Source organism: Homo sapiens, chromosome 14 (assembly GCF_000001405.40).
Source record: "Homo sapiens chromosome 14, GRCh38.p14 Primary Assembly".
Lineage (NCBI taxonomy): Eukaryota > Metazoa > Chordata > Mammalia > Primates > Hominidae > Homo > Homo sapiens.
This window is the reverse complement of record NC_000014.9, coordinates 70,602,195-70,616,563: the sequence shown is the minus strand read 5'-3', so window position 1 is coordinate 70,616,563 and position 14,369 is coordinate 70,602,195. Positions and strand designations below refer to the sequence as shown.

The following is a 14,369-nucleotide window of genomic DNA, read 5'->3' as shown; positions in this document are numbered from 1 at the left end:
CCATCACCTTATATATTTATCATTTCTTTGTGGTGAGATCATTCAGAAGCCTCTCTTCTAGCTATTTTATAATATACGATATTTTACTTTTAACCATATTCACCCTACTGTGCAGTAGATGACTAGAATTTATTCCTCCTATCTAATCGTAACTTTATACCTATTGACCAACCTCTCTTATCCTCCCTTCCTCATTTCTCTCCCCAGTATGTGGTAACCACTGTTCTGCTGTTTCTATGATACCAATTTTTTTTTTTTTTTTTTTTTTTTAGATTTCACATATGAACCATGCAATATTTCTCTTTCTGTGTCTGGCTTATTTCACTTAACATGATGTCCTCCAGGTTCATCTATGTCATCACAGATGACAAGATTTCATGCTTTTTTATGGCTGAATAATATTCCATTGTGTCTATATACCGCATTGTCTTTTTCTTTTTCTTTTTTTTTTTTTTTTTGTTTTTGAGATGGATTCTTGCTCTGTCACCCAGGCTGGAGTGCAGTGGCACCATCTTGGCTCACTGCAACCTCCGCCTCATGGGTTCAAGCCATTCTCTGCCACAGCCTCCCGAGTAGCTGGGATTACAAGCACCCACCACCACGCCCGGCTAATTTTTTTTTTTTCTTTTTTGTATTTTTAGCAGAGACGGGGTTTCACCATGTTGGCCAGGCTGGTCTTGAACTCCTGACCTTGTGATCCACCCGCCTCAGCCTCCCAAAGTGCTGGGATTACAGGTGTTAGCCACTGCGCCCGGCCTTCACATTTTCTTTATCCATTCATTTGTTATTGGACATTTAGGTTAATTCTATATCTTGTTGAATTCGGCTGTGAATCCATCTGGTCCTGGATGGAGATTTTTTGTTAGAATTTAAAATTACTGATTCAATGTCATTACTCATTATTGGTCTGTTCAGGGTTTCTATTTCTTCCTGGTTCAATCTTGGAGGGTTGTATGTTTCCAGGAATGTATCAATTTCCTCTAGGTTTTCTAGTTTGTGTACATAAAGGTGTTCATAGTACTCTACGAGGATCTTTTTTATCTCTGCGATATCAGTTGTAATACCACTTTTCACATTTTTGGTTGCATTTATTTGAATCTTCTCTTGTTTTTTCTTGTTTAACTAGAAGTCTATCAATTTTGCTTATCGTTTCAAAACACTAGCTTTTTGTTTTGTTTATCTTTTGTGTCATATTATTGGTCTTGATCTCATTTAGTTCCTTTCTCATCTTTGTTTTCTTCCACTAGCTTTGAATTGTTCTTGTTTTTCTACTTCCTTGAGGTGTGACATTAGGTTATTAATTTGAGATCTTTCTATCTTTTGATGTAAACATTAAATGCTATAAACTTTCCACTTAACACTGCTTTTCCTCTATCCCAGAGGTTTTGGTATATTGTATCTTTATTTTTATTTCTTTTGAAGATTTTTTAAAATTTCTGCCTCAGTTTAATTGTTTACCCAAAAGTCATTCAGGAGCAAGTGGTTTAGCTTCCAAGTTTGTGTAGTTTTGAAAGTTCCTCTTGCTATTGATTTCTAATTTTATTCCACTATGATCTAAGAAGATACTTGATATGATTTAGTTTTTTTTTAATTTATTGATACTTGCTTTGTAGCCAAACATATAGTCAATTTGGGAAAATATTCTGTGTAGAGATGAGAAGAACGCAAATTCTATGGTTGTTGGATAGGATGTTCTTTAGATGTCTATTAGGTCCATTTGGTCTAGAGTCCAGTTGAAATCCAGAGTTTCTTCATTGATTTTCAGCCTCAGTGATCTGTCTAGTGCTGTCAGTAGGATGTTGAAGTCCTCCACTATTATTGATATTCTGTTGAAGCCGCACAAAATGGATTAAGATACCCCCAGTATCCAAACATAGGGAAATGCTTGCAAAACTTTGAATATGTCGGGATGCTTTATGCTCACATATTTCTTTTCCTCTTCCTTTCTCCTTTCTTGTTCTCTCTCAAATGTCATCTTGTATGTGAAACCATTGCTGAAAACCCCACCTCGTTGCCCTCATTATTTTCTAGGTAGAATATTTTAATGCCTAGAGTATAGTAATTGTATAATAATAAATATTCACAATGATTAATTTTCGAACAAATAAACAAATGGGTATGCCCCTCATTCACTGGTAGGGAAATTTTTGGCAGGAGCAGTGGCTCAAGCCTGTAATCCCAGCACTTTGGAAGGCCAAGGTAGGAGAATTCCTTGAGTCCAGGAGTTTGAGACCAGCCTGGCAACATAGTGAGAATCCATCTCTACAGTTTTTTTTTTAAAGTTAGCCTGGAATGATGGTGCATGCCTGTAGTCCCAGCTACTCAGGAGGCTGAAGTGGGAGGATTGCTTGAGCCTGGGAGGTTGTGGCTGCTGTGAGCCATGATTGTGCCACTGTACTGTAACCTAGGTGACAAAGTGAGACACTATCTCAGAAAAAAAAAAAAAAAGGAAAAGTTGTTTGTTTGTTTCTAAGGCTACACCCCTGTCTAGGAGAGCTTGTTCCTTCCTAATGGGTTTCAATTACCACCTCTACACAACTAACTTCTAAAGAAGTTCCAGTTCTATATCTCTTATTGCTTGACAGATATTCTGGTGGGAGAAATAAACCAGAAGCAGGGATAGTAATCAGGAGTCTATTACAATAACCTAAGTGAGAGGTAGTAAGAATGAAAACTGGGGACACGGCCAGGCGTGGTGGCTCACGCCTGTAATCCCAGCACTTTGGGAGGCTGAGGCGGGCGGATCACGAGGTCAGGAGATCAAGATCATCCTGGCTAACACAGTGAAACCCCGCTCTACTAAAAATACAAAAAATTAGCTGAGTGTGGTGGTGGGTGCTTGTAGTCCCAGCTACTCGGGAGGCTGAGTCAGGAGAATGGCGTGAACCTGGGAGGTGGAGCTTGCAGTGAGCCGAGATCGGGCCATTGCACTCTAGCCTGGGAAACAGAGCGAGACTCCGTCTCAAAAAAAGAAAAAAGAAAAGAAAAGAAAATTGGGGACAGGTTTAAGAGATATCTGAGCTATGAGTTGCCTCCAAGGCAGACGGTGGAGACTCTTGCCAGCACTCTGAAATTACACAGTATGTGCTGCTGCCTACTTTTCCTGTGGTGAAGACTGACACAGTGAATGCTGACAGGACTGAGGAAGGTCAAATATTTTCAGAGCCCCATTCTTTTTTCCTTTATTTTTCTTTTCAAAGTCTGACGGGTAGGGAATCAGCAGAGTTAGGAAATGAAAAAGAAAATTTCAGTTTCTCTTTTCTGTACCCAAGCCCTGGGTCTGATGTTTGGTCTTTGCTTCCCAGATATATAAAATCAAAATAGCCAGTGCCCCTAGAAATTGCCTGACATTAAGCCAAAGCATTCCCTTATGCTTTTTATTCACAATGTATGGCTTTTGGCAGATTGGCATGCAGGACACCTGAATCCACCTCCATTTATTATCAGATATGGATATTCTTGGAGTGTGGGTCCAGGACTCAGTCCCATGTGTGATCTTTCAGGCCCTCCACAGGCAATTACAAGGTGATGCATGGCAGGCCTCATAGGAGAAGCTGCTCTCCCCACATCTGACTTGTTGTACCACCAGTGCCTTGTAGTTTTCTGGAGGGAGTTGCAGTTGAGGACCTAGGCCCCTTTGAGCTGCAATGCTAGTATGCATAACTGCATTCCCAGCTCAGGCACCTCCATTCAGAAGCCTCTTGACTGGGGCCTCTCTTGAGACACTTCCCAGGCACCTTTGCTGAGACCTTGTTATTGTGGGCCTTGGCTGAGACAGTTTTATCCACTTTGACTCCAGACCTTTTCACTCCTAGTCCTTCTCCCACTTTCTTTCCATGGCCCTATAAGTCCATAAAAAGCAGGAATCTTTTGTTTGGGGCTCCTTGGTAATGAAATGATTTTCCTTACCTGTGCTTCCATTTGACTATTGCCTGGCACTGTTCTATTGGGAAAAAACACTAGGGAGCCAATGCCTTTCTCTTTTGACTCTTGCCTGCACTGTCACAACAAATGAATTGATTGTTATTTTCAGTTTGGCTTGTTGTCTTATTTGGTCACCTCAACACATGGTAGCTTGGCACACATCTGTTTGGTTTCCCTGTCTTTTAAGTAGGAATAAGAATATTTCATTTTAACCCTCTTCTTTTTTTTTTTTGAGATGGAGTCTCGCTCTGCTGCCCAGGCTGGAGTGCAGTGGCGCGATCTTGGCTCACTGCAAGCTCCGCCTCCCGGGATTTTAACCCTCTTCTATTATGGTCTCCATGCTCTTTGAAATGAGAACTTTAACTATTATTATTATTATTACTTTGAGACAGTGTGTTACTTTGTCACACAAGCTGGAGTGCAGTGGCGCAATCACAGCTCACTGCAGCCTTGACTTCCCCAGGCTCAGGTGATCCTCCCACCAGACTCTGGAGTAGCTAGGGCTACAGGTGCGTGCCACCATGCCCAGCTAATTTTCTCATATATATATATACACGCACACACACACACACACACACACACACACACACATATATATACACTATATATACACACACACATATACACATATACATATATATACATATATATGTGTGTATATATACACATACACATATATACATATATATGTGTATATATATACACACACACACATATATACATATATATGTGTATATATATATACACACACACATATATACACACACACACACACGTATATATATATATATTTGTGGAGATGGGGTTTTGCCACGTTGCCCAGGCTGGTCTCCAACTCCTGGGCTCAAGCTATCTGCCCACCTCGGTTTCCCACAGTGCTGGGATCACAGGCATGAGTCACCACACCCAGCTGAGAACTTTTATTGAATATACCATATATTCTACTTTATCTTTTCATTTTAGTGAGATTCAAATATTTCAAGAAAAGGAGAACAAAGAATTCAGATGTACATTAGACTACGTTTGATTGTATAATAAAACCTCTAAAATGAGACAAATATTTTTCTTGGCTCACAGAATAATGTGACTAATTTTAGCCAGATGGAGTATGATTATGAATTAGCTACATGTAAACGAGATTTGAGACACTAAGCAATGACCCACTTTATAACTTTAAATTATACAGATGAGAGTCTTTGCCCCATGGTGGTTTAATTATTTTCTTGGAAGATATTACACATCTTCATTCAGAAACTTAATGAATTTTACAATTACTCTTTCCTCCGAAGTCACAAGTGATGATGCCCCATCTGGATTGGTAAAGAACTCACAGCAAGAAAAATCACTGATGTGGAAAAACTCAGGACAGCATTCTTTTGCTGACCACTTACCACTTTTGCACGTACCCAGCAGCCCACTGAAGTGCTTGTACCTGTGTGCCTGGGGAAGGTGGGGAGAATATTTCTTCTTTTACCCCTCCAAGGTCTGTATCTTTATTACTTTGATAGTTCCTGCCTTAGTTTAGTTCACCATCACCTCTCGTCTGGATTATTAGGAACTATTCTTAATATACATCCAATCCACCCTCCACACTGACATCTGAGTTCTCATTCTCCAAATGCAAGCCTTCATTGACTAGCCAGTGCCTTCAGGATCAAGTCAAAATTCCTAAATGCAGAGGAGCCCTAACAAACTAGACCCAAGTGTCCCTTCCAGTCTCATCTTCCAGCACCATCACATTGTATGCACAAGGCACCGTGTATTTGCTCCTCTTGGAAGAAAATCCCTCCCACTTCTGTGACTCTTTACCAGCTCCCTGCTCTCCTCCAGCCAGAGAAAAGCACCCTTTCCCTTTCCTCTACCAGGAAAATCATACTCAACTTTCAATACCTAGTTCAAATTTCAGTTGCTGTGTTCAATATGTTAGAGGCAGAACAGGAAAATGGGAAAGAGTAAGGATTCTGGACACTTGTGCTCCTCCATTGATCACATTTGTAAGATTGAGTGACTTGTTTAACTTCCTTAAGCTTCTGTTTTCTTATATGTAAGTTGGAGATTTAACAGTAACTACCACATCAGGTTATTGGGAGGATTAAATGTGACAATATTTCTAAAGCACTTAGGACTGTGCCTGGCATATCAGAAGTACTTAACATGTAAACATTAACTATTATTCTAGTTTTGCTGACATTTTCTCAACCCAGTTATATTTTGGCTTAACTGACTTTAAGAAACTTAATTTAATTAATTTATTTATTTTTGAGACAGGGTCTCATTATGTTGCCCGGGCTGGGGTGCAGTGGCTATTCACAGGCACCGTCCCACGACTGATCAGCATGGGAGTTTTGACAGAGGTTTCCAACCTGGGCCAGTTCACTCCTCCTCAGGCAACCTGATTGTCCCCTGCTCACAGGGGGTCACCATATTGATGCCAGACTTAGTGCAGACATCCAGTGGGCTTCAGGCACTACAGCCTAGAACTCCTGGACTCAAGCAATCCTCCCCTCAGTCTCCCAAGTAACTGAGACTACTAGCATGCACCACTACACCCAATTAAAACGGCTTTTATACCTAGAATTATATTAGCTTGGGTGAATTGAATAACCAAGGTAACTGCATTACCCACTCTAGTTCATTTATTCCTTAATATTTACCACAGCTGCATCTCATGGAGTGTGGTTTGAACAAGTTATATTGAACTGCCATGTGGCCGTGACCCTTGTAAGTATAACTCTATCAAGAACTATTAATCTGGGCTCCAGCTTTTGTATTTTGGGAATTCTGAGAGTCTGGTCAGGTATTTCTAGTGCTTTGCTTTAATAATAAGCAATATGAACATCACCAAATAATTTAAAGATTCTACCTGTTCCATGAAAGGGCAAAGCAACTCCTAAATGCCAAAGGAGATGAAAAACCAAAGAAGGAGGTAAACAAATCCACTTTGTTGGTTTTGGGTAATTTATTATGGGGAATTTACAGGCACAAGTGTGGTTTTGGGCATACGCAAGATAGGTAGATCTCCGTACCTCAAGCCCCCAGACCCAGGGCTTATATCTTGAGAAGAAAGCATACATGCTCTGGAAGGAATGTGTAGCCAGTTTTGGGCATCACAGCCCGTGATTTCTGTGATAACAAGCGTTGTTTTGGAGGAAACCTTCAATAAGTAGATGTTTCTACATAAGGAGTAATACATCAGCTAGCCATTTTGGAGGCATTCCCCACCTCCTGGTTAATTAGAAATTGCATGGCAGATTCGCTTTTAAAATAAAGTAACTCTTGTCCCCATAATACCTTTGTAAAATCTTTCCACCTATGTTTGCTATGCCTGTAGGGAGACAAATACTTTTATTGAATTTGTACATACAAGGCTTATTTTCATTACCACTTTGAACTTATTCAATCTAATTTCACATCTGATTTATTTCCATTTCAACTATACCTCAAAGTCAAATTTATTTTCATTCTATATTAAAATATACAATGATCACTATGATTTCCAATCTTGTTTTTGAGATCTGACAAATTCTTATGTGTAAATATAGTTTTCTGGTAAGGGGAGTAATAGATTTGCAACAAAAATTATGAATTACTTGTTTTATCTTTGAGTGTATATACGTATACCTGTATGTCTTATTTATCTAAAATACAAACTTAAGCATGTTAAGAATAGAAGCCTTTCCCATTATTCCACACCTCCGTGGGGGCTTTAGAACTGACTGATATTCTGTAAACTGATAACATCTATTACATCACTTTTCACTTTGTATTACAATATTGGATTATATGGCCATTCTGTACCCACCCACAACTGAGAGCTGAATGCATAAATAAATGAAGACTGCAAATTGTTTGTTTGAGTGATTTGTCCATGAATCAGACAAATATTTTCAGGTTTGTACATAGGATTTTTTTAAAGCCCTGAATGTTAACACATACACAATATGGTTTTACATTGTTTACATGGGTTTACTGTATATCCAAAAATTATATACATTGGTACTCTTCATTTGCTTATAACTTGAAGATAACTTATAGCACAAACTGGAGAAAAGAAAAGACACTGTATTATAAAATCTATTATTTTCAACCTTTTTTTCCCTGCTGCTAAGGTTTATTTGGCTGATAGTGAATATTTAAAATCTTCTTATATTTTTTATTTTTATTTTTATTTTTTGGTTTTTGAGACAGAGTCTTCCTCTTTCACCCAGGCTGGAGTGCAGTGGCACGATCTCAGCTCACTGCAACGTCCGCCTTCTGGATTCAAACAGCTCTCCTGCCTCAGCCTCCTGAGTAACTGGGATTACAGGCATGCACCACCATGCCCGGCTAATTTTTGTATTTTTTTAGTACAGACAGGGTTTCACCATATTGGCCAGGCTGGTCTTGAACTCTTGACCTCAGGTGATCCGCCTGCCTTGGCTTCCTAAAGTGTTGGGATTATAGGCATGAGCCACTGTCCCGGCCTAAAATCTTCTTTTAACCCTGATCTGTGAAATGACATTGAATCTTACTCTTGACCACCCACAGAAATGTAAAGAATTAGCTCACTTTATGTATGGAAATCACATAAAGCCACAGCCACAGGGACAGACACTGGTGGGGGAAGGGTCACTTTCTTCTGGCAGGAAATGGAATAAAAACCCAGAAATTTTCTTCCTATTAATAAATATCTTGTAAATGTTCTCATATAAATATACACTATACATGAGCCTATGAAAATAAAATATTTCTTTACGTCCACATATTGTAGGTTTAGAAATAAATGTAAACTTCAGGAAAACGCAACAGGAGATAATTATAAGAGAATACAAACAACATAATTACTAGGAAGACAAGCCTGGGATCAGGGTTACCAGGTGACCAAACCCAGGGGAAAGTAACATGAAGGTGAGTTGGGATATAGAGTCATCCATATACAGTTATCCAATTAGCCAAATGCCTGGGCAGCTAGGTGTCTGAGAAGAAGTGGAATTGAACATGATATTTTATGGTGGCTTAAGAAAATTTCCTATCGAGTCAACACAGAATTGATGAAGAGAAGGGGACTATTTGCTGACATGTTATTTCCTGTTTCCTGCCTTCTCCCTACCCACCTATTTGTCTCCAACTAAAATTTCATTAATCATCAATTGTCAGCATCTACAGAATAACAAACTTTTTTTTAAGTTTTTTTTTTTTTTTTTTTTTTTTTTTTTTTTTTTTTTTTTTTTTTTGAGACAGAGTCTTGCTCTGTCGCCCAGGCTGGAGTGCAGTGGCACGATCTCGGCTCCCTGCAAGCTCCGCCTCCTGGGTTCATGCCATTCTCCTGCCTCAGCCTCCCGAGTAGCTGGGACTACAGGCGCCCGCCACCACGCCCGGCTAATTTTTTTGGTATTTTTAGTAGAGACGGGGTTTCACTGTGTTAGCCAGGATGGTCTCCATCTCCTGACCTCGTGATCCACCCGCCTCGGCCTCCCAAAGTGCTGGGATTACAGGTGTGAGCCACCGCACCCGGCCAGTTTTTTTTTTTTTTTTTTTACATAGCCTAATCTTGCTTGCACATGAGTAGAATTTTCCAGATAAATTTATGTTTGTGTGTATGCGTGTGTGCATACACATTTGCTCTCCTGTGTGCTGGGTTAAGGGTGTGAGGGAGGATAGAGACACAATAGCATTCCAAGTTTCCAGGTAGAACCATGTCCAAAGACCTAGAGATATAAACATCTCAGACAGTCTGGGGATCTGTGAGAAGCTCAGTGTTGCAGGGGTTCAGTGTGTGCAGTGGTGATTTGGGGTTGAGAGATAATGCTGAAAAGTAGGTTGGGGCCCATTTACATTTCATGTTGTGGGCTGAAAATAGAGTCGGTAAAGCTTTTAGAGCAAGAAAACACTATTTATGGAAAAATTACCCTGGCAACAATGTTCAGGCAAGACAGAATGGGCACTGGGATGGAAAGAATAGCAGTGGAGATGCAGAGGAGAAGCCCGATTCAAGAGAGGAGCCTGAGAAGAATGGACAAGACTTGGCACTAGATTAGTGTGGGAGGTAAGGAAGAGGGAGTGGCAAGGTTTCTTAGTAAGACCAAGAATACAGGTAAGAGTGAATCTCTTGTACTTTGAAACAGAACAGCAAGTTGGAGCTATCCAGTATGCAGTTACAAATATGTTCCTGGGACTCAGGAGAGAGGTCTAGATTAGGCTGTTTTGTGAGCCATGATAACATAGACGAAAACTGCAGCCACAGTGTGAATTAAATCATCCAGAGAGGAGAGTGAAAAGCAGAAAGATAGGAAAGATGAGGGGTGGGTCTGAGGATTAGAGGTCTTATAGGTAAAACAGAGGAAGAGAAGCCAGTGTAAGGAATAGGAAAGGAATAGTCTGAGAGGTGGCAGAAATACTAGTGGAGGGTAGTGCCATGGAGACCAAGAAAAGACAGTATTGAGAAGTTGGGGTGTCTAACACTGCCAGATTCTGTATCCAGCACTTAGAGAATGCATTGCTTTCTTAAGCACACATGATCATATAAGGCATGAAGCAAAACCAAATAAAAATTAAAGAATAGGTATTATGTAGAACATGTTCCTTGAGGACAACGCAATTGAGTTAGAAGTTAATAACAGGCCGGGCATGGTGGCTCATGCCTGTAATCCCAGCACTTTGGGAGGCTGAGGCAGGTGGATCACCTGAGGCCAGGAGTTCGTGACCAGCCTGGCCAACATGGTGAATTCCTGTCTCTACTAAAAATACAAAAAATTAGCTGGGTGTGGTGGTGCACGCCTTTAGTCCCAGCTACTGGGGAGGCTGAGGCAGGAGAATTGCAATGGAGCGAGACTCTGTCTCAAAAAAAAAGTTAACAAAAAGATAAATTTTAAAATTCCATATACCTGGAAATTAAAAAAATAACCCACAAATCAAAGAAAAAATCAAATCAAAACTTAAAAAACACTTAGAACTAAATGATAAAAGAAATACTATACATCAAGACTTAAGGTATACAATGAAGGTGTTTCTTTGGGGGAAAATTTATAGCCTTACATGCTTACTTAAGAAATGAATAGAAGGCTGGGAATGGTGGCTCATGCCTGTAATTCTAGCACTTTGGAAGGCCAAAGTGGGGGCAGATCACTTGAGGTCAGGAGTTCGAAACCAGCCTGGCCAACATGGTGAAACCCCATTTCTACTAAAAATACAAAAAAAATGGCCAGGCACGGTGGTGGGTGCCTGTAATCCAGCTACCTGGGAGGCTGAGGTAGCAGAATTGCTTGAACCCCGGAGGCGGAGCTTGCAGTGAGCCAAGATTGCACCACTGCACTGCACTCCAGCCTGGGTAACAGAGGGAGACTCCGTCTCAAAAAAAAAAAAAAAAAAAAAAAAAAGAATAGAAGCTGAAGATTAATTGATTAATGTTCATCTCAGTAAATTAGAAAAAGAACAACAGAATAAAAAGGAATTAGAATAAAAATATGAACAAAAAAATGAACAGAAATAAGTGAAACAAAAAATACAATAGAATGAATTAATCAAGATAAAAGTTCATTCTTTAAAAATACAATCAAATTGGATAAATCTTTGGTGACATTCATCATGAAAAAAAGAAGAAGGAAATATAATTAAAAAGGGAGATGTGGGTTTAGACATAGCCCAGATTAAAAGGACAATACGAGAATACATTGAGCTACTTTATTACTGATAAGGTCCCAGAATTACTACTTTCTTCCCTGCATTTTTCTTCAGGAAACTGTCTAATCCTCTATCCACAGATCCTTAAGAGTAAAGCAAGAACTACCAGCAGATTTCCAAGATACTGCCACAGCCACCTCCCTTTTGGGGTTTGCTGGGATTGTTACTTCAGATACAGCAATTTGACTTTGAGCCCCTACCTGCTGTATTGAGTTGGCAGTCAAGGATCTTCCTTGGGATGCTTCTCTTTGCTCTCCTCCAGAATTAACCAAGCATCTCAGGGGCATACTCACCCCAAAAAATGTGGGGGTTATTAAATATTTTCTAATGCCATACTGGAATATGATTATCTAGTTTGCCTTTGTTATTGCTTTTTGATGCCTTGATGGAGTCTTGCTTAAAGTTAGTGCTGTGTAATCTCATGGGCCCTTGACAACTATCCTGCAATGAGAGGAAAATCCACAAAGGTTCTTTGAGGGAAGATAATTCTGTTTGGACTAAGCTTATTTGTACTCTATGTTTAGGATTCTAGGGTTAAAGCTTTATGATTAGATTTTTTTTGTTTATGATTACAGCCACTTCCTAAGGTGAACAGCTGCTTTCAGAATTACTGCCACAGGTCAGGTTTTGGCATTTGCCTTAAGGGGTTGTGTAGCTTTTCTTGTAACCCTTAAATCACAAAAAAATTGGTACCATACCTCTCCCTAGACCACTGGGGCCAATCTCAGAGTTTCCAAGGTAACTTTTCAGAGATAATTCCTCAGTATTTCTAAGGCAATTTTCTGCTTTGTATAATGAAGTAGCTGGACTTTTCTTCACTAAATAAGAAGGAAAAACACCCCACACATTTGTCATTTGCTAAAATACTTTCCTGATAGGACACCAAACAAAATATAACCATGTTGTTTTTATTTAGAATATTAGTATAAATAAAGTTGTGCGTTTGGCATCATTCTAACATCAGGAGAGATTTTAAGAATTTTCTTATAACTTCCCATAAATCAATTTCCATTAACAATTTCATATTTCATTTATTATTGAATTAATGAAGTTTATTATTTATCTGAGGGCCATCATATCATCCATTCATTTATACATGAATTTGTTCATTCAACAAATATTTGTTGAACAGCTACTATATCAAAAACACCCTGCCAGAGACTAAGTAAGTAACACCAGGCAAACACAGACATGACCATGTCCTCACAGAGTTTACAGTCTAGAGAATTTTTTTTTAGAAAAGAGTCTGAATTCAGGCCAGGCAATTATAGAGGTATTCCTATAAGGAAGGGCACACATTTCTATAGGTACAGAGTGGGATGACATGACGTGTAAATTTAGAATATTGGAGAGAATGTTAGAGAAAGAAAAACGTAGTAACGAGGATCATGGTGTCAGGTATTTAAAGGGAGCGTGTGTGAAGGAAAGCTGTTTTTCTAGATGGTGATCTTATGGAGGAAGATGAGTACCACACATTATCAATTATCCATGAGCATCATTTCATCTTTAACCAATCAGAAATCATTCCCACTTCCATACTGAAGATCTTGTTTTTTCTCTTTTACTTGCATTCTCACATATTAAATTATCTAAGTTTCCAAATCCTAAAGCCTCAAAAGGTCATACTGTATATAGTGGAGGCAGGTACACATTTTAATATATCCTACAGAAAATAGATTACACCAGTATTACTGATTTTATGGAGGAGACAGTACATAGCAATTTTGTGTGCATGTGTGTATTTTTAACATAATAAAATCTTATTTCTTGCTTTGGATCCAGTTTAGGTCAGCAAGGTGGCTCAGCACCTGTGGTCAGTCATTCAGAGACCCCAGCCCCCCAACTCCCCATCACCACCACTTTCAATCCATGACCTTAGGTTTCTCTGGCATCTAGCTGGTGAATACAGAGAGAGAAAGTGAAGATGGAACCAGTGTTTTTCACTGTCTTGGCCTGGAGGTAACACTTATCACTTCCATTCACAGTCCCTTGATGAGAACTGGCTATGTAGCTCCATCCAGGTGCAAGGGTGGTGGAAAATATAGCTTAGCTGTATACCCAAGTAGATAATAAGTTTGGTGAAAAGCTAGCTCATCTGCCTCAGTCCGTCTCCTCATTTAAAAATGGGAGTAATAGCTTCTGCCTCATAAAATTGTTTTGAGGGAACAACTAGATAGTTCGTCAAAGTGCTTAGCACAGTGCCTCGTCCATAGTAAGTGGCTCAATAAGCACAACAAATACTTTTGACATCCATAAACAAATTTCCAGTCAGAACCTTTGTGGCATTCTACTCATTCAAATCTTTTAATAGCTTCCTATGTTCTTTGAATAAAAAATAAATTATTGACCAGGCTCTCTATCATCTGGCCCCTGCCTTCATTCCCAGTCTCTTTTCCCATCATTCATCCTTCACTCATACAACCCGGCTTACACTGGCCTTTCTGTGGTTCTCAGACCAACCCCTTTCCCACTGTAGGGTCCATGGTCCCCTCTGTCTGATATGCTTGTGCCCCAGCTCTTCACATGAGTGATTTGCTTTCATCTTCCAGGTCTCATCTCAGGTATCACTTCCTCAGAGAGGCCTGTCCTGACTGTCCTACCCAAAGTGGCTTCCTCCCTATCTTGTCTTCTCTTGTTTTTGTTACCACACTTTTTAATTTATATTTCTTTATTAACTGAAACAATTAATATAAAAGAAATAGAGATGGGATCTCGCTATCTTGACCAGGCTGGTCTCCAGCTCCTGGGCTCAAGCAATCCTCCCATCTTGGCCTCCCAAAGTGCTG

The 14,369-nt window shown here is 39.6% G+C and overlaps 1 long non-coding RNA gene and 1 pseudogene across 1 annotated transcript in view; one reads left to right on the top strand and one right to left on the bottom strand.

Annotated features, from left to right (window-relative positions):
- Window positions 1-7,766, top strand: part of TTC9-DT (TTC9 divergent transcript) — a 32,501-nt gene extending 24,735 nt beyond the window's left edge. Inside the window, exon 3 of the long non-coding RNA NR_110071.1 lies at window positions 5,214-7,766. This is a non-coding gene — a long non-coding RNA (TTC9 divergent transcript). The remainder of the gene's footprint in view (window positions 1-5,213) is intronic.
- Window positions 6,185-6,478, bottom strand: RN7SL77P (RNA, 7SL, cytoplasmic 77, pseudogene; annotated as a pseudogene).
- Window positions 7,767-14,369: the final 6,603 nt, after the last annotated feature.